Here is a 20,021-nt window from a genome sequence, read left to right as displayed (position 1 = left end):
TAGGTTCTACTGCCTGTGGTAGATGGAATTCTAAGATGGCCCCCAAGGTCTCCCACTACCACCTGCCGTGAACATGCCTTGCATTAATATAATTTCTGGAACTGGGACTCAGAGGGATTTTATTTATTTATTTTATTTTTATTTCTTGAGATGGAGTTTCACTCTTGTTGCCCAGGCTGGAGTGCAATGGCGTGATCTCGCCTCACTGCAACCTCCGCCTCCCGGGTTCAAGCAATTCTCCTGTCTCAGCCTCCCAAGTAGCTGGGATTACAGACATGCGCCACCACGCCCGGCTAATTTTGTATTTTTAGTAGAGACGGGGTTTCTCCATGTTGGTCAGGCTGGTCTCGAACTCCCGATCTCAGGTGATCCGCCTGCCTCGGCCTCCCAAAGTGCTGGGATTACAGACGTGAGCCACTGCGCCTGGCTTCTCAAAGGGATTTTATGCCCATGGTTGGGTTCTGTCTTATAGCAAGCTGACCTGAAGATAGGGAAAGTATTTGAGTGTGAGCCTTGCCCTAACCACATGAGCCTATTCAAAGTAGTTTTCTGCTGGTAGAAGAGGAGGAAGTCAGGGATTTGAAGCATGTGGGGGATTCAGCACATGAGAAATCCTCTGTTGTTGACTTGAAGATGGAGGGAGCCCCATGGCAAGGAAGGTGGACGGCCTCTAGGAGCCGTGAGAGGACCTGGCTTACAGCCAGCCAGCGAGGACATGGGGACCTCAGTCCCACAGCCGCAAGGATCGGAATTCTGCCAACAAGTGGAGCTTGGAAGCCAATTCTTCCCCAGAACCGGCAGAAAGGAACGCAACCTGGTAGATGCCTCAATTTCAGCCCTCTGGGACCCGGAGCAAAAAAACCCAGCCACACAGAACCTGGACTTCTGACTGCCAGAACTGGGAGCTAATGAATACATGGCACGGAGTTGGTGGGCGCCTGAGAGAGCTACTCAGCTGTGAGGTCCTTCCCCTGGACTTGAGCACAGGCCTTCTGGCTCAGGGTGCTGAGGGATGGTGCTCCCCTGTGAGGGGGGTGCCCGGGGCACCCCAGCCTCCCTCAGGAACTCCCAGGCCCCTCAGAAGCAGGAAGTTGGGCTGACCAAAGCTGTGGTAGCTCAGCTATATACATGGCCCCTCTTGACCCTTCTCTGTGAACTGAGGTGCTCTACCTGACGGCCTCTTCACCAAGGGAAAATGCTTCAGGCATTTGGGAGCGTGCGCCCTGAGAAGGCCTCAGCAAGTTTTTGGAGATTGTCCTTCACAGGTGAGGTGGCTCAGGGTAGGCTGGTGGCTTCATGAGGAAAACCAGAGCCCCAGATGCTTGGCCGCATGGCACCCTGGGCTGAAGAGACCCCCAAGGGACAGGGATGGGAAAGCCAGGGCTGGCAGGGTGTCCTCTGCTTGGTGGAGGCCTTGCCCCGCCTTCAGTGGCCTCCTGGGGCTATGATCTCCAGGATTTAGAGAAACCTTCATGACGGTCACCATTTCCTAAAGGCAAGGAGTTCCTCAGTGAAAGGAGGCCTGACCTCTTGGGTCCTTAATGTGCCCAGCGCAGGTCCAGAGCCAGGGTGGGAGGCTGAAGGCGTTGCTGCCCTCTGCCTGCTTCAGACATCCTCACCGGCCCTTCCTCTGTCCACTCCCACCTGACCCCTTCCTGAGTCAGTGCGGGCCACTGAGCCAAGGTTCACCCCTCGACCCTTGCTCTGGGGATAGAAAAACGGACCTTCACCTGGCCCAGGTCTTAGGAGCTTCCTCTGCCCTGGGTGTACTCTCCTATCCCACAGCCTCTGTCGGGAGGGAAGCAGGAAGGCCCCTTTTACTGAGGGCCCATAGTGCCAGGACTCTGCTGACTGACTGAACTACATGGCTGGGGACTCAGTGGCCCCTGCCCAGGACAGGGAAGGAAGGGTTCTTTCCTTGGCTCAGTCATACTGTGAGGCAAAGATTGCTGTGGGCCAATGGCTGGGGCTTTATTACAGTGGGTGGGCTGCCAGCCACCTCCCATCCAGCCTCAGCCCTGGGCCACAGGCTACATGGGCCGCTCCTGGGGCTGGTGTGCAGAGCTGGCCTGTCCCCGGCCAGGTGACAGTCTCTTTCTCAGCCTGACCAAGACCTTGATGGGGTTCTGGGTGCAGGTGTCCAAGTGGGTCACACCCTCCAGCAAGGACTTGCTGGGCTGGCTGCAGGGCTGCCGAGATGGGGATGTGCAGGGCTGCCGAGGTGGGGATGTGCAGGGCTGCCGAGGTGGGGATGTGCAGGGCTGCCGAGGTGGGGATGTGCAGGGCTGGCCCAGCAGGGTCCTACCCGTCCTGCTGCTAGGAAGGTGCTGTCTGCCCAGAGGCCTGAAGGAAAACCAGATCCAAGATCCCCTGTGAATGCAGGGAACACTCCACTCACCTGCCCCACCTCCAGTAAAGCCTCACTCACCCTGGGGATGTGCTCTTGGCCTGGACTGGTGGTGTTGCTCCCTGGGTTCCCTTGCTGGAAGGGGACCAGAGCCGGTCCTGCGGGATCAGCTACAAAAAAAAAAAAAAAGCCAGTCTTATAAGGGCCCAGGAGTCCCCTCCCCACTGTACAGAGAGGGTGTCGTAGCCAGGGATGGGGAGGGAAGGGCCGGGCGCATATCCATGGGCCCTTTCACCTAGGGGCAGGGCCTAGGAAGCCTTCCAGGGCCTATTCTCAGCTGCAGAGCCTTGGGCAGGCAGCAAGTGTGGGGAGGTTTCTTTCTGACATGGCTTCTTTTTTTTTTTGTAGAAACGGGGTCCCATTATATTGTCCAGGCTGGTCTCAAACTCCTGGGCTCGAGTGATCTGCCCGCCTCAGCCTCTCAAATTGTTGGGATTACAGGCATGAGCCGCCGCACCCGGCCTGACGAGGCTTCTTGCTGCACTTAAAGGAATGACAGCTATAGAGGGCATATGGGACTGGAAGGCATCGGATCCATAACATCCTCACGCCTTCTGGAAATGTGAAAAATGTTTCACAAAAGCACAGCCTAAGGCCTCATGTGATGAGGTGGGCTCTCCACAAGTTCCCGGGGCAGAGTCTGAAGACCTGCTGCTGGATAGGGGCTTCCTCCTGGTCCCCAAGGGCCCGCCCTCTCAGGCCCACCTTGAGGCCACCCTGCTGGGCCACTTCCCGGATTTTGGACAGCATTGATTGGAGCCGCCCGTTCTCCTCCTGTAGGACCCGGATGCGGATGTCGTTGGACTGCACTTGCCTCTCCATGTGATCTGTGACGTTGCCAGAGTCTGTGGGACATGTTATCTGGGATTCCACGCTGCTGGATCTGCCTCCTGTGCCCAATGGGACAGGACCTTAGAAGGGAGGCACACCAGCTTGGGCAGGTGGCCTGGAGGCACAAAGGAGCTGTGTAGTGCACCAGGCCTCCTAGCTCATCTTCCTTCTCCCGAGGCCTTATTCCCCCTTCCCTGTCCCCCAACCTGCAGGGAAGATGACCATAGTATTATAAAATCTGAGAGCTGGGTGGGACCTAGAGCTCTCAAAAGACTTAGCAAGGCCGGGCGCGGTGGCTCACGCCTGTAATCCCAGCACTTTGGGAGGCCCAGGTCAGGGGATCATTAAGTCAAGAGATCAAGACCATCCTGGCCAACATGGTGAAACCCCGTCTCTACTAAAAATAGAAAAATGAGCTGGGTGTGGTGGCGGGCCCCCGTAGTCCCAGCTACTCAGGAGGCTGAGGCAGGAGAATCACTTGAACCCAGGAGGTGGAGGTTGCAGTGAGCAGAGATTGTGCCACTGCACTCCAGCCTGGCAACAGAGTGAGACTCTGTCTCAAAAAAAAAAAAAAAAAAAAAAAGACTTAGCAAATAAGCATGAGAGGAGAGTGAATCTCTGACAAGGCCCCCCCGTTTTGGACAGGCTACAGCCAAAGTGAGCTGTCCAAGGTCACACGGCCAGCTCAAGCTTGGGAACGGCAGGAATTCCGCCAGGCTGCTCTTCCCCTGCTTTTGTGATGGATGCTTCCTTCTGGCTCCAGGAGCCCGGGAGAATTGCTGCCCCTTCTGGTTCAGTTTCCTGCTATGGGAAATAGCTATGGGGCTATGACCTGCCTCACAAGGTGGTTGAGAAGGGGACAGAAGGGCCTGGATGATGTCTCACGAGCAGCTAACTGCACATCTTCCTGCCAGCTCTGCAAAAGGATTTGCCCTAGTGCTTTAGGGGTCTGGAGGGGCTGGGAGAACCCAGGTCACCTGATATCCAATCCTGTGCCAAGATGGGTACCTAGCACTCCTATGCCATGGGGTCCAGGACAGTGGGCAGCTGGAGGCTGTGTCCTTGGGACTAGTCCCATGGTGTGGTTTGGGGACCCATTCCAAGAACCAAGAAGGGGGACACACAGAAGTCGAGCAAGAATTAGCATGTGACGTAGTGAAGAGCACAGGCTGTGGGGACAACCAGACCTGTGTCTGCGTTTGGCTGTTGTGACTAGAGGCAGTCACATCACTGTTGGGCTTTCACGTCCCTGTCTATGCAGAGTGGATGACGCATGAAGCACTTGCGTGCTGTGGTGGGTCCACAGGGGCTGCGCTGCTGGCCGCCTGGCTTTAACACCCTTGCTGCAGGCTAGGGAGCTGCAGTCCCCAGTGTCCTGCCCACACGAGCCCTCAGCTGCTGGCCCTGAGCCCCAGCATGCCCTTGGCACCATCCCCAGTCCCCTACCATGGATCTGGGTCTCGGTGGGCCTGTGCAGGTCTGGGAAGGCCACCAGCAGCCGCTCCCGCTCCTTCAGCTCCTCCAGCTCCCGTTCTAGCTCCAGGATGGTTAGCCGCAGGTCCGTAGTCGCCTGCTCCAGGCCTTGCTTCTCCCTCTGCAGGCTCTGCAGCAGCTCCTGGGACAGACGGAGGCTCAGGCCTGGCTCCTGAGTGAGCTACATGGTACTCAGCGCCCTGGGGCACCGTCCCTACCCAAGAAAAGACATGGGACAGGCCTGCAGGCACTCAGTTGGCCGGAGACTTCTCTGGCAAAAAGGAAGACCCCCACCCTCACCTGCTGGGCCCTGAGCTGGCATTGCCCCTGCTCCCGCTCGCTCTGCAGCTGCTCCTCCACGCGGGCCCGCTGGGCCTCAGCCTCGTCCAGGCTGCCCCGCAGCTCCTCACGTTCCTGGTCCAGGCTGTCCAGCTGCTTTAGCAGGGCTCGCTGCTTGGCCTGCAGAGACTAAGCAGGAACGGACAAGCAGGGAGGCTGTGAGACCCACAGGGCTAGGCCCAGCCATGTGGAACTAAGGAGGCTACAGCATCTACTACCCCTCGGCTGCTACCCCCCTGGGGTGTGTGTCTGTGTCTAGGGAATGCTGGTCACATGCGTGGAAGGGTAGGGGTCGGGGGAAGCTGGCAGCAGGCAGATGCACACCGGACCTGGTCAAGGCCAGGATCCCAGCTTGAAGACCCCGGCCCTTGGAACGCAGATGGCTGGCTCTGGGGGTCTCACCCCCACTTCCTTCCAGTCATACACAGACCCCACTTGGAGAGGAATTCTGGGAACTAAGTTTTTCTTCTCCTCGGGTCTCCAGTGTCACATCATCCCATGTTGCTGAAGCCCACATTTCCTAACACCCACTGAATGGAAAGCAGGAAGAACTAACGCTGGACTGCTCGGAGTCCTGGCTCCACCTCTCACTAGCTGTGTGGCCTTGGGCAACTTCCTTAACCTCACTCAATAAGGCTGTTTCCTCATTCGTAAAATGGGGGTGACAAGAGTATCTACCTCCTGTTGCTGTAGCGAGGAGTAAGCATCAGAGGCTGCGGCGCCTGAAGCCTGGGTCACAGCAGACACCTGATACATGGCGGCTGTGACAGTTTGCAAGGCACAGAGAACAGCACCCACTTGGGGTAGAAAGGCTTCCCCTACCCTGGGCCCATGTCTGACCCTGGGGACTCTCAACTGAACTCCTGGCTCCTTGCTGAGCTTTTGAGGGTTAGACCCAGCCAAGACAGCCCCCAGACCTGCCCCTTTCACTAGGCAACAGGTCACCTACTCCCTCAACCACACTTCTGAGGACTCCTGTGAGGCCCCATTGCCCAGAGCACAGCTATGCCCCGGGCCCTGGCTCACCCTCTGCCTGCCCTGTCCTTCCCCTGGCTGATGGACTAATTGCCTGTCATGGGCGTCCAGCTCAAAGGCCACCTCCTCCTAGAAGCCATTCTGGATTCCCATGGCAGATGTGGCCATCCCTCCCTGCACCCCTTAGCCATCTGGCAGGAGAGTGTGGCACACCTGCTCATCTTTGCCTGTGGGGCGCTCTTCCAGAGTGAGGCCTCACTGGGCAGTATCAGTCCCTGGGTCACTGTTCCCCCAGTGCCTGGTTCAGGGTAGACTCTCTGTAAAGGTGAGTCAACCCCCACACCTGGAGGCATCTCAGGGAGCAGATGCCCAATATAGATGATCCCCCATTCCCTGACAGTGGAGCCCTCTTTCCCTGCAGCCTACATTGCAGATGCCCAGGCTAGCGAGGGCCCTGGCCTCACCTCCTGGTGGCGGACCATGCTGTCGACACGGGCCTTCTCCTTATCCAGCTCCGTGCTGGCCCAGCAGACCTGCTGGCCAGCGCCCTCCAGCCGACCCACCAACAGCTGCACCTGCGCCTCCAACTGCTGCACCTGCTCCTCCAGCTGCTGCACCTGCCTCTCCGCTGCCGCCCTGCGCTCACCTTCCTCCTGCAGCTGCTGGGCCTTTGCCTCTGCAGCATTAAGTGGACATGGGATGGGGTAGGGCAGGGGAGCGCTGTACTACCTCAGACCTAGGACGGGAGCTCACATCCCATCTCTGGGCCTCAGAGTCCTCAGCCACAAAATGGGGCTCTAGACCCCACCTGAGGTGGGTTTGGAAAATAGAAGGCGCTTTCTCGGTAGGAGGTGGCAACCCAGTTTGGTCATCGCCAATAGTGTGGTTGGTCAGGCCCACCCTCCTGTGGCTGGTTCCCTTCAACTTTGCCCTGGATGCTCAGGGGACAGAGATGGACGATGCTCATCCAGCCACACCCCTGGCTTGAGATGTGGCATGGGGGCCTATGATGGGGCTCCTTACCCACAGCCTGTGTGGACTCCCGCTGCTGTTTCAGTTCTCTCTCCAGGGTGGCCATCTTTGTCTTTAGGTCACTTGTTTCTATGGCAGCCAAGAGAGAGGCCCTTCAGAGGGTCCCATGGACCTGGCCGGCGGCCTTCATGCCCAGTGTGCCCCGTGGAGTGGAGGCAGCCCATCGCCTGCAGAGGGGCCGCCTGCGGCCATGGGAGGAGCTCTAGGGAGGCTGGTGGAAGCGGCTGGGCCCTTACCCACCCTGCTTCTCATGGGCTGGCTGCCATGTGTCTACACCTCTCTGGGCCTTGGTGTCGTCCATGGAGGCAACTGTGATGAGGCTCAGAAAGGGCAAATCCCTCAGGCCTCCCATCAGTGGGCACTGGCCATCTTCTGGTGCCAGGAACTTTGTCTCTAATGGCTTTTGCCACAACCAGAGAGGCTGCTCTGCTTGGCTGGAAGTGCCAGGGGAATAACTCTCTGGAAGTAGCCCTCAATGACTGACAGTGCAAGTGGATACATACCTCGGTTCCCTCACTGACCGATGGACGAGTCTGGGCAAGCGTCCTAGCCCAGCTCCTGGTGGCCCCAGTGGGACTGAGATCACAGTGTCACCACCGGATGAACACCCCCTTCCTTGCTGCCCTCCCTTCCCTGCCTCTTGCCTGTGTCCCAGCCTGGGTTCTTCCACACAAACCACTTGCCCTGGAAGCCCTGTCTCACAAACATCCATGCAAAGGCTGTGGCAGAGCCCCTGGGCACCAGGCGTCTGGCCTCTGGGGCACAGACCTGTGAGCAGCTGCTGTTTGTCGTGCTCCCACTCAGACAGGCACTGCTCATCCTCCTCCGCCTGTCGCCGCCGTGCCCCCTGCTCCTGTTTCAGCGCCTGCTCCAGCTTGCCCGCCTGCTTCCTCAGGCCATCCTTCTGCCCTTCAGCCTCCTCCAGCTGGGCCCTGAGGGCCTCCACATGCTTACTGAGGCGCGTCAGGTCTTTCCTCTGCTCTGCTGCCCAGCGGCCCACGGTGGCAGCCGGCAGTGGCCTGAGCCCCATGCTGTCCTGCACCAGTTGCTGGAACTGGCCTAAGGACGAGGGCAGGTTCTGGCTCTGACACAGGCTGATGACCACCTTGCCCACCTTCTGCAGGCTTCCCTGGACGCTGGCGCATGCGTCACAGGGCACCAGGGCCGTCTCAATGGTCTGGGAGTGGACACTCCTGGTGTTCTTGAAGGTCGTGGCTGGGAACTGCAGGGAGGCTCTGACAGGGATGCTCTCTGGCTCTTGGCAGGTCTGGGGCAAGCCTAGCACTGGGGAGGAGGGCTTGATTAACTTGGTAGTCAGATATTCAGGGCTCCTGGCTGGCTCGCCCTTGGTGGTGGGCTTGGAGGTGGGAGTCTCCCTTTGGTTTGCCCCTTTCTGTGTTCAGAAAAAGACAAGGGAAAGCAGGTGAGGGAGAGAGTAGAGAGGGAGGTGACTGGTTCCCTGGGGGATGTTCTGTGACAGTGTGACAGCCTTGCCTGACACTCAGACCCTCAAATGTTCTCTGACACCGACGTGAATAAGAGAGAACTTTCTCCCTCTGTTACTCTGACTCAGCTTACTACAGCCAGGTCTCCTCTCTGCGGCCCGCACCCCAAGCTCCAGGCTTGATCTGATTGTATGCATGGTGTTGGGAAGGTGATGGTGACGGTCACAGCTGCTGGTTACTGGGCTCTTGCTTACTGGACCTGCCTGCTCTTGTGTCACCATAACCACTCTCAGTTTTAGTTTCCTTCCCATCATGGGAACAGTGGTTCTTCCCCAGTGGGTGGTTGTGTGGATTACGGGATAGCCCATAACAAACAGGGGTCACATGACCTCCGTTGTATAGATGAAGAAACTGCGGTTCAAAGTAGGCAAGATTTTTCCAAAGTCCCACAGGGATGTCAGAGCCAGGGAGCAAGGCATGATCCCCAAGGCCTGCGTTCTTAACCGCCACACTGTGTGGGGCTTGATTGGGAGGGCGGTGGGAGCCAGTAAAGGCTGTGGTGCACATAGTGGTAGGCTAGGAAGCCAGAGCTGGGGCGAGGTGTGAAGGCCACCACAGTGGGGAGATAGAGGCTGAGGCTGACCCACCTGAGACAGAGGCTGGGACCCACCTGGGGGAGTGGCTGCTGGTGGAGCGTGCCCAGCCTCAGCAGGCTGTCCCAGAAGCGCCGCACCGTGAGCCCCACGGACATGCAGGGCCCCGCAGCCTGTGCAGGGGGCATCATCTGCTCTGAGCCAAGGTTCTCCAAGTAGCTCATACAGCTTTGAAGCAGCAGCAGGAGCCTGCGGGCAGAGATGCTAGGTTGCTGGGGCCCAGGCTGGTGCTAACATACCCTCAGACCATACAACCGCAGCTCTGGCTCTGGGGAACTGGCCCAGGCATCAAGAGCTTGGAGAGTCTCAGAATATGCTCTGCTGGGCCAGCTTCAAACCTAACCCAGGGGCTACTTCCTCAGGGAAGCCCTCCCTGGCCACAGCCTCAGCTTGGGAGCCTCTTCTGTGTCTCCTGGGTGGCACTTCTGCCTGGCTCTTCTCCACTGGACCAGGGAGCTCTGTGAAGCCAGGCCTGGCCTTGCCTCAGTTGTATCCTGAGTCCTTGAAAAGTTCTGGGTGAATGGCTGCCTTATATCCAGTGGCCCGGAGCCTCCACTTGATAGATGACAGAGCTGAGACCCAGAGAGGGGAAGAGCTTGCCCACAGACACACATTGATAGGGCAGAGCAGGGAGTGTGCACAGTCTCCTGAGGCTAGTCAGGGGCTTCTGCAGGGTGAGCTGCTTCTGTGACAGTGGAGACCTGTGTCAAGACAGCTAGGTCTCTGTCCTAACCTCCAAGTTTAAAACTACAGTCAGGCATGAATTGTAAGAAAAAGGAGTATTATAATAAAAAGCTAAGTTTGCATTTGCATGGGAACCAAGCTGTTTTAAAGAAGTATTGTGTTTACAACACATACCAGGAAGATGAGTGAACTTAGCTTTTTGCAGATGCAGGAGGGTCATTCCAAAACCTGTAGGGCCTTGGGCAGAGAGGGCCTGGGGGCAGAGGTGCCAACTGCCTCCAAGGCCCCGCCCCTCTCTGGCCAAGGTGTCCTCCTCTGCAAACAGGGACAACAGCACTTGCCATGGTGCCAAGCAACATCGGGGAACGGGAAAGCATCTGAAAAGAGGACAGAGCATGGCTTTGGCAGAGCAATCCGTCTGCTTAGACCAACCGACCCTCGCAGCGGGAGACTGTGGTGCTGTCTGCAGCCTCAGCCGTGATCCCACCCTTGCCACGAACTGAGCAGCTCAATGCTACACCACTCTAACTCAGCCAGAGGTAGGCAGAGGGTCAGGTAGGGCAGAGGGCATGTCAGAGACAGCTTCACAGAGAAGCGGCTGGGTAAACCAGGCCATGATGGATGGGCAGGACACTCCTAGCAGAGGGACAGTGTAATGCATAAAGTTACGGAGAAAGGAAGGTGTGTTCTGTGCTCATACACGTTCAGCTGCTCAGAGGTTACAGATGGTGCTTTTGTACCAAGGGCTCCTCCAGCCCTCAGAGTGGTAACCCTGGCTTCTCTGTCCCTAGGCAGGTCATCCTGAAACCACTGGAGTCCCTCTCACATTCTTTGCTACCTGTCTGGCCGTCACGGCTTTAAGGTTGTTTTTTGTTTGTTTGTTTGTTTTGAGACAGTCTCACTCTGTCGCCAGGCTGGAGTGCAATGGCACGATCTCAGCTCACTGCAACCTCCGCTTCTTAGGTTCAAGCAATTCTCCTGCCTCAGCCTCCAGAGTAGCTGGGACTACAGGCAGGCACCACCACGCCTGGCTAATTTTTGTATTTTTAGTAGAGACGGGGTTTCACCCTGTTCGTTGGCCAGGCTAGTCTCGAACTACTGACCTCAGGTGATCCGCCCACCTCGGCCTCCCAAAGTGCTGGGATTACAGACGTGAGCCAACGCACCTGACCATTTTTAAGGCATTTGAGCGCTAGAACCCTGGGATACAGTCCCCAGAATGTGAAAGGCTGGTGACCATGTTAGCTTTGCTTTTTCTTTCTTTGAGACAGGGGCTTGCTCTGTTGCCCAGGCTGGAGTGCAGTGGCATGATCATGGCTCACTGTAGCCTCGACCTCCAGGGCTCAAACAATCCTCCCACCACGGCCTCCTAAGTAGATGGGACAATAGGCACGCACCAGCCAGGTGCAGTAGCTCACGCCTGTAATCCCAGCACTTTGGGAGGCCGAGGAAGATGGATCACCTGAGGTCAGGAGTTTGAGACCAGCCCTGGTCAACATGGTGAAACCCCGTCTCCACTAAAAATCCAAAAAAACTAGCCAGGCGTGACAGCAGGCACCTGTAATCCCAGCTACTTTGGAGGCTGAAGCAGGAGAATCTCTTGAACCCAGGAGGTGGAGGTTGCAGTGAGCTGAGATCACACCACTGCACTCCAAGAAGAGCAAAACTCCGAAGAAAAAAAAAAAAGGCATGCACCAACACACCCAGCTAATTTTTAAAATATTTTTGTACAGATGGGGTTTCCTTATGTTGCCCAGGCTGGTCTTGAACTCTCAGATGATCCTCCCATTAACCTCCCAAAATGCTGGGATTACAAGTGTCAGCCACCGTGCCAAGCACACCATGTTAACTTTATTTTTATTTTCACTTTTTTTTTTTTTTGAGAAAGTCTTACTCCATTACCGAGGCTGGAGTGCATTGGTGTGATCTTGGTTCACTGCAACCTCTGCCTCCCAGATTCAAGCGATTCTCATGCCTCAGCCTCCTGAGTAGCTGGAATTACAGGCATGCACCACCACACCAAGCTAATTTTTGTATTTTTAGTAGAGACAGGGTTTCACTATGTTGGCCAGGCTGGTCTTGAACTCCTGACCTCAAGTGATGCACCCGCCTTGGCCTCCCAAAGTGATGAGATTACAGGCGTGAGCCACCATGCCCGGCCAACCATGTTAACTTTAATGATAGCTTAGAAGTGATGAGGCTGCAGGAGAATCAGCAAGGCTCTTCCCAGCGGGTCAGGATTTGGAAAACCACATCCCGTGTCCGGCCTTGTGATATGCAGAGGGAACAGCACAACCCACAGGACAACAGGAAAGAGAGCCCGGAATGGAAACTCTGAGAAGCAACTATGGGGTCCCCAACATAGAAACCCTGAGGAGGCAGCTGGGAGAGGCTGAGAGACCGTGGTCACAGCTGTGGTGCCACAGAGACCGATGGAATGGAAATCAACTGCCTGAGGTGGACAGGCTAGGAGAGCCTAACACAGGATAGCACAGCACACAACACAAGACACATGATAAAAGGTAAGACCACTTTGAAAGTCCTGAGCTGATGTGGCCCCGACAGGTACTCAATGGTGACTGTTGTTCCAACATCACCCCTGCCTCTGGAGGGGCTTCCGTAGCTGCCACTGGTTTCAGGGGCAGGTGCTGGCATCCTGAGATGACCAGGCTTGGTCAAGGCCCTCACCTGTCGATGACCAGCTCCAGCAGCACGGCATGGGACAGCTGCGTGAACTCGGGGTCACCCGGAACATGGTCATAGTGCTCCAGCAGGGCCACCATGTCGAGGTCACAGGCCATGCGGTCAGGGAACTTCCAGGAGGGGAAGCGCACAGGCCCGGCGCGGGAGAAGACGTCTACGATGGCACCCTGCAGGTCGGTGAGGTCTGTGCGCAGGCTCTCCATGCAGGCCTGGCTGCCCAGCAGGTGCGCCATCCTCACAGATCCTGGGGTGAGCAGAGAAGAGCCCTGCCAGCCAGAGCCACGTGGCTGCTGCAGGAGGAAACTCCCTGAAACCCTCATCTGCCCAGGAGCTGCTAGGCCGGAAGTTCACCCCAGACCCTGGGGAGAAGTCTGTTTCCCAGCCCCAGGTGACAAGGCCTTTCCGACCCGGTTCTGGGTGGCCTTACCAGCCTCTCAGTTCCCCTACCCCAAGCACATACTGCAGAGTCCATCACTCCATAAGTCCTTCCTGAGGGCTTGTGTATGTTGGGCCCCCTGCTCAAGGCTGGGTGGATACAGCTATGAACAAGAACATGCCTACCATCCTTTCCTCCCAAAGCGAACCCTTGAACAGGGCACACACAACTGAGAGTTACAGCTACAGCGTGATGGGGAGAGTTGGGCCACACCAGGCCACTGTCATATCCTGCCTAGACCACTGCAGCAGGTTCTAGCTGGGTCACAGGCCTGCCCTCTCCAATCTGAACAACTTCGGCTCCAGAGATTTGGACGAAACTCTATTGGACCATGTCATGCTGGCCACAGTGCCTCGGTACTCCCTGTGGCCTGTGGAAGAAAAGCCACCTCCAGACACATCCCTCACCCCACCTCTCTCCAGTCCCCTCCCCTCTACCCCATAGTCTCCCCTCCACCCCACAGTCTCCCCTCCTACCACCATCAGCTACGAGTTGCAGCTCATGCACACCAGGCACTTGTTTCTAAATCCTCGCCCATCTGTCCCCTCTGTCTGAATCATGCTCCCCTGTCCAATTCCCATCACCTGGCTAACTCCTCTCATCCTCCAGGGTTCCTGGATATTACCTCCTCCAAGAAGGCTTCCCTGAGTACCCTCCATGCTGGCTTAGATAATCCCTCTGGGCTTCCACCATCTCAGCTGTGATTGCTCTCTGCTGGAATGGCCTTCTCTCTGAGCCACCTTAGTCCCTGTGGTATCCCCAGTGCGGCCAGCCAGGGACCTGGCCCATTGTAGATGCTCACTGGCAAATAATGACTCAGTGATTGAATGGAGAAAAGAAAAAGAATCGCAAAGAAAATTTAAAATGCACTTGACTTCTAAAGTGCAAGAGAGGAAAACATGAAAACTTGCATTAAGACCTATTGTCACCAGCGGTGACAGAGAAGCCATTATATATATGTTTTTTGGTTTTTTTTTTTTTTTGAGATGGTGTCTAGCTCTGTTGCTCAGGCTGGAGTACAGTGGCGTGATCTCAGCTCACTGCAGCCTCCACCTCAGCCTCTGCCTCCTGGGTTCAAGCAATTCTCCTGCCTCAGCCTCCCGAGTAGCTGGGATTACAGGTGCCCGCCACCACGCCTGGCTAATTTTTGCAGTTTTAGTAGAGATAGAGTTTCTCCATGTTGGCCAGGATGGTCTTCTGACCTCAAGTGATCCATCCACCTTGGCCTCCAAAAGTGCTGGGATTACAGGCGTGAGCCACGGCACCCAGCCCCATTATATATATTTTTAAAACAATTTTTGTTTTTACTGATGCATAATAGATGTCCATAGTTTCAGGGTACATAGTTTCAGGATTATTTAATACATTCATATAATTTGTAAAGATCAAATCAGTGTACTTAGAATATCCATCACCTTAAATTTGTCTTTTCTTTTTTACTTTTTTTGTCTTGTTTTGTTTTTTGAGACATGGTCTCTGTCACCCAGGCTGGAGTGCAGTGGCACCCTCACAGCTCACTGTAGCTTCAACCTCCTGGACTTAAAGTGATCCTCCTGCCTCAGCCTCCCAAGTAGCTAGGACTACAGGCATGTGCCACTACACCTAGCTAATTATTTATTATTTTGGGGGGGTAACATCTTGAGCTGGCAATTTAAAAAATTTTTTGTAAAGACGGGATCTCACTGTGTTGCCCAGGCTGGTCTCAAACTTCTGGGTTCAAGCAGTCCTCTCTGAAAGGCTTGGCCTCTCAAAGTGCTGGGATTACAGGTGAGAACCACCACACCTGGCCTTTTTTTTTATGCTAAGAAACTTTTGAGGCCAGGCGCAATGGCTCACGCCTGTAATCCCAACACTTTGGGAGGCCGAGGCGGGCGGATCACCTGAGGTCAGGAGTTCAAGCCTGGCCAACATGGTGAAACCCCATCTCTACAAAAATACAAAAATTAGCCGGACATGATGGCGGATGCCTATAATCCCAGATACTTGGGAGGCTGAGACAGGAGAACTGCTTGATCCCGGAGGTGGAGGTTGCAGTGAGCCGAGATCGCGCCATTGCACTCCAGCCTGGGTGACAGAGTGAGACTCTGTCTTAAAAAAAAAAAAAAAAAAAAAAAGAGAAACATTCCATTTATTTTCTTCTAGCTATTTTGAAATGTACAATAGATCACTATAAACTAGTCACCCTACTGATCTATTGAACACTAGGACTGCCATTACGTTTTTATACAGAGAATCCCAGCCCTGCCCCTTCCTGGCCTCAGGCAAGTCACTGAGGCCCAGCTGTAAGATGGGGACATTGTCTCCAAGCAGGCCAGGTTGTTGTGAAGGCATTAAAGGAGTCATGAGTAAGGTGCTTGGTCCAATACAAGGCACCAGTAAAAGTTCTTAAGCAATATTAACTATTATTATTATTAATAATATTATTAGCAGTAACCACGGCAAAGCCCATCCTTGTCTTGTGCTGGGGCCTGGCTCCCGTTCTTCCCCAGTTCCCCTGCGGCCCACACAGAATGCTTCTGGTCCATCTTCTGCCGCCTGTGGACATCTGAAGGTGGCGATCTGGATGAACAGTCTATGACCCTTGACTCAGAAGGTGGAGAAGCGAGACACTGCCCTGGTCCCTCCTGTGACTTATCACCCTCCAGCAGGGCTGGGGTGTGAGCTGGCAGCTGGTTTCAGAGCCAGCATTCTGCTGGGAGTCAGGCAGCTATGCGGATGCTGAGTTCCAGCTCCTCCCCACCTGCCAGCAGGGGCCCCTTGTCCTTGGTGAATTTCTCAGTAGCAGGAAGTACCTCCTTGCACCAGCCCCTCCCTGAAGCAGGGGCTGCTTGGGCAGCATTTAGGCCATGGCCCCTTCTGCCTCCAGCAAGTCCAGGGCTGGCTGAAAAATTGTTCTCCCAAACCTATCCTCCCCACCAACCACCCTCATCTCAGAAAACGGCACCCCACTGAGTGCACCTGGCTTAGCCCTCGACTAGGCATTTCCTGAGTTCCCTCTTTCCTCTACCCCCATGTCCCAGGACCCAGTGCTGCCAATCCTACATCGAGACCACACTGGGAACCCAGCATTTCTCTCCATCAACACTGCTCCTACCCCATCATCTCCCCAGACACTGCCAGAGCCTCCCTGAGGGGTGAGCCACTTCCCTTCTGCCCTGTACCACCTGGTCCATCCTGGTTGTACATGGCAACCAGAGTGATTGTTTAATAAGGCAACCCACCCCTGCTTGGAGCCTTTTCCTCTCTTTCTACAGCACTAAGACTGGACCGCTTCCTGGGGCTCCTGCCCTGTGTGGCCTGCCCCAGCTTCAGTGTCTCCCCACCCAGAATGCGCCCTTCCCCACACTTCTTCTAGATAAGACACCTCCCTCAGGCCCCCCGCCAAACATCCCCTCTTCAGGAAAGCTCCCCAGGGCCCCAGGCCGGGCGAGGTTCCCTGTCACACATTCTCAGAGCATCCTGTTCTTTTTCTTCCCAGCATACACCACCGCCAGAATGGAATCATTATTTGAGAAGTTATTTGTGGTTGGCAGCCTGTCTCCCTGTGAGCGTGTGGTATGACCTGGTCACCTGGGCTGAGAGGACTAAGGGCCAGCCTGTGCCCACAGGTGCTGGGAAGCTCAGAGGCACCCAGGGGAGGGGTGGACTCTTCACCCTCCCAGAAGATGGGGCTTTCCCCTTACCTCTGTGCAGGTGTCTGCCCGTGGAGCTGGAGTGACTGAGTGTGTCTAGTTCTCAGACGAGCCTATGGGCTCCAGGGCTCTGGGTCAGAGGCTCATCCAGGTGCCCGGCTTCCTGTCTCCAGTGCAGGGTTGGCTCTGAGTAGCTCTTCAGACCCTGGGAGGGGATGACAGTGACAGTGAGTGAAAGCACAGTCAGGCAGGGCTTCCTGAGAGCAGGGTAGAAGGCTGTCCAGGAAGGAGAAGGGGTTCCAGACTGAAGGAAGGAGGGGAGAGAAGGGGCAGGTGGGCTGCCTGCCTTCAGCCTGAGCAGAGGGTACTCTTCAATAGTGCTGGCTTCGACTGAAGAACCTACTGTGTGCCACTTCCCTGAATCTGCCTCATTTCTACAGAGGAGGAAACTGAGGCTCTGAAAAGTTAGGGAGCTTGCCCGAGGTCACTCAGGAAGTTGAGATTCTGAGTCCACCATCTCTGCTCTGTCCTTCTAGAGCAGCAGTGTCCAAAAGAAATATACTATAAGCCACACACACAATTTTAGGTTTTTCTACTAGCCACAGATGGGGTACAGGAAATGCTACCCCAAAATATGGCACCTTAGAAATGCAAAAAACTGCAGAAGCAGGAAGGCCACCCTCATCTTCCCCTCATCCTTCTTCTCTGAAGCAGGCCGCCAGGAAGGTCAGTCTGTGACCTCTCCCCTCCTCCCCTGAAGACCCTCATGTGACAGGTGTCCTGCCCTATACCCAGATGGGAAGCAATGTCACATAGGGACACCAAGAAGAATCTGAGCAAACAGGCCTTACTAAATCCATGCCCTCCCTCATGTATTACTACTAGATCATACCTTTTTTCTTTTTTTTTTTTTTTTTTGAGACAGAGTCTTGCTCTGTCACCCAGGCTGGAGTACAGTGGCACAATCTCAGCTCACCACAACCTCCGCCTCCTGGGTTCAAGCAATTCTCCTGTCTCAGCCTCCTGAGTAGCTGGGACTACAGGTGCACACCACCACGCCCAGCTAATTTTTGTATTTTTATTATTTTTTAAATTTTTAATTGTATTTATTATTTTTTTGAAAGAGAGTCTCGCTCTGTTGCGCAGCCTGGAGTGCAGTGGTGCGATCTTGGCTCACTACAACCTCCACTTCCTGGGTTCAAGTGATTCTCCTGCTTCAGCCTCCTGAGTAGGTGGGACTACAGGCACGTGCCACCATGCCCAGTGAATTTTTGTATTTTTTATTAGAGATGGGGTTTCACTATGTTGGTCAGGCTAGTCTCAAACTCCTGACCTCATGATCCACCTACCTCAGCCTCCCAAAGTGCTGGGATTATAGGTATGAGCCACCATGCCCGGCCAATTTTTGTATTTAGTAGTAGAGGCAGGGTTTCACCATATTGGTCAGGCTGGTCTCCAACTCCTGAGCTCAGGTGATCCACCCTCCTTGGTCTTCCAAAGTGCTGGGATTACAGGCATGAACTATCGCGCCCCGCCAGATCATACCTTTGGGTCCACCAATCATAATTCTGCACACTGACCATAAAAACACAGATCTCCTTGTTTCTTTGGGTTTTCATTTCTGAAGGTTTCCATGTCAGGGAAAACTTTTTTTTTTTTTTGAGACGGAGTCTCGCTCTGTCGCTCAGGCTGGAGGGCAGTGGCGTGATCTCGGCTCACTGCAAGCTCTGCCTCCTGGGTTCACGCCATTCTCCTGCCTCAGCCTCCAGAGTAGCTGGGACTACAGGCGCCCGCCACAACACCCAGCTAATTTTTTTGTATTTTTTAGTAGAGATGGGGTTTCACCATGTTAGCCAGGATGGTCTCAATCTCCTGACCTTGTGATCTGCCCGCCTCAGCCTCCCAAAGTGCTGGGATTACAGGCGTGAGCCACCGCGCCCGGCAGGTAAACTTTTATTAAATTTGTATGCTTTTCTCTTGTTAATCTGTTTTTAAAATTTTATTTCATTTATTTATTTTTTAGAGACAGGGTCTCACTCTGTTGCTCAGGCTGCAGTGCAGTGGTGCTGTCATAGCTCATTGTAACCTTTAACTCCTGGGCTCAAGTGATCCTCCCCCTCAGCCTCCTGAGTAGGTAGGACTACAGGTGGGTGCCACCGCACCTGGCTAATTTTTTTGTTTTTTGTAAAGACAGAGACTTGCTATGTTGCCCAGGCTGGTCCTGGCCTCTTGGCCTCAAGCAATCTTTTCGTCTTGTCCTCTCAAAGTGCTGGGATTATAGGCGTGAGACACCTTAATCTTTTATTAAACTTGCAATGAGTGAGGAAAATATATTACTTTTTCTCCCCTACACATTAAAAAGAGTAAAAATAAAGGTCAATTAACTTTAATTTTAACAGCATATTTTATTTAACCCAATATACCCAAAACATTATCATTTCAACATATCAATATAAAATTATTAAGGAGATTTTTAACATTTTTATGGTATTAAGTCTCAAAATCTAATGCCTGTTTGACAACACATGGCCATTTGGACCAGAAACCATTTCAAATGTTCAAAATCTGTGTTGGCTGGTAGCTACTGTATTGGACGGTGCAGAGGGTTGGATGCTGTGTGTGCATTCAGCAAATGAGGACTGAGTATCTGTTCCATACCAGGCACTACGTCAAGACCAGGAACACAGCAGGGCACAAGGAGCCCTGTCCTCCAGGAACTACCAGTGATATCTGAGGGTCTCCGCAAGGGGTAAGCTTGTGTGTGCCAGTTTCACCCATGGGATATCACCCAAGGGATACGTGTCTGCCCCATGATACTCACAACACACATGCCCACATCCTACACTCCTGTTGTCTTGGCAACTGCCAATGAACTACTGCTGCCCAAGAGATTTTATGTCTCCAAGGAGGGAGGCAGAAACAAAGGCAAAATAACACACGGAAGTATTCTGGGTTTCCTTCCTGGAATGGGCATGAAAGAAATAAAGAAATCAAGAAGCCCCCAACCTGGGAGAAAGTGTATTCAGGTGGCAAAGCATCTGGAATTCATAAGCTTGCTTGTGAAGGCACCAGGAAACACTGATCTGTTCACCTTCAAATAACTATAGCTGCCACATGGGGCCATCCTGGATATCAACTCCCAGTAGATCCTGGATCAGATAAGCAGCAGCAAATGCCCAAGTGTCAGGAAAATCCAAGATGACCTTATGTTGTTTCTTCTGAAAATTGAAGTCATGCAGATACAAGCATAGTTTAAGAAGTACTTTATGTGTGTGTCAAGTGAAGAAGCACTTGACGTGAGCTCTTTCTGCAATTCCTGGGTCTTGAGTGGAACCCTCAGTCTGAAGCTGCCAGCCCGGCACTGTACCCATGACCACATAGGTGACAGCACTAATTGAGCCCTTAGGGAGG

The 20,021-nt window shown here is 54.3% G+C and overlaps 1 protein-coding gene and 1 long non-coding RNA gene across 17 annotated transcripts in view, besides 1 other annotated feature; one reads left to right on the top strand and one right to left on the bottom strand.

Moving 5' to 3' along the window:
- Window positions 1–102: 102 nt before the first annotated feature.
- Window positions 103–20,021, bottom strand: part of CCDC157 (coiled-coil domain containing 157) — a 22,050-nt gene continuing 2,131 nt past the window's right edge. For 2 of the 16 annotated variants that reach the window (XM_011530263.4, XM_006724278.5), the window contains exons 2-12: window positions 16,662–16,815; window positions 12,528–12,786; window positions 9,173–9,344; window positions 7,826–8,450; window positions 7,049–7,126; window positions 6,490–6,701; window positions 5,012–5,179; window positions 4,685–4,853; window positions 3,113–3,318; window positions 2,429–2,517; window positions 103–2,343 (exon numbers count right to left, since the gene is read on the bottom strand). In XM_011530263.4, coding sequence (XP_011528565.1) covers window positions 2,031–2,343; window positions 2,429–2,517; window positions 3,113–3,318; window positions 4,685–4,853; window positions 5,012–5,179; window positions 6,490–6,701; window positions 7,049–7,126; window positions 7,826–8,450; window positions 9,173–9,344; window positions 12,528–12,775 — 2,280 coding nt within the window. In that variant the 5' untranslated portion in view covers window positions 12,776–12,786; window positions 16,662–16,815 and the 3' untranslated portion in view covers window positions 103–2,030. Of the gene's footprint in view, window positions 2,344–2,428; window positions 2,518–3,112; window positions 3,319–4,684; window positions 4,926–5,011; window positions 5,180–6,489; window positions 6,702–7,048; window positions 7,127–7,560; window positions 7,646–7,825; window positions 8,451–9,172; window positions 9,345–11,668; window positions 12,833–16,661; window positions 16,816–20,021 lie in introns of those variants that run through there. The other 14 variants (XM_024452258.2, NM_001318334.2, XM_047441441.1 and 11 more) reach the window with 14 other exon arrangements.
- On the top strand, window positions 871–9,965 carry KIAA1656 (protein). The gene is made up of 2 exons (NR_046312.1): window positions 871–1,265; window positions 2,756–9,965. It is a non-coding gene; the product is annotated as a KIAA1656 protein (long non-coding RNA).
- Window positions 7,541–8,040: an enhancer, noted in NCBI's record as "H3K4me1 hESC enhancer chr22:30766725-30767224 (GRCh37/hg19 assembly coordinates)". NCBI's record gives its function as "activates a minimal SCP1, AML or CMV promoter by ChIP-STARR-seq in primed H9 embryonic stem cells {active_cell/tissue: H9 hESC(primed)}" and the evidence as "EXISTENCE:reporter gene assay evidence [ECO:0000049][PMID:30033119]".

This window comes from Homo sapiens, chromosome 22 (genome assembly GCF_000001405.40).
Source record: "Homo sapiens chromosome 22, GRCh38.p14 Primary Assembly".
Taxonomy (NCBI): domain Eukaryota; kingdom Metazoa; phylum Chordata; class Mammalia; order Primates; family Hominidae; genus Homo; species Homo sapiens.
Note: the sequence above shows the minus strand (reverse complement) of the source record. Positions and strands in the feature narration are given on the sequence as shown.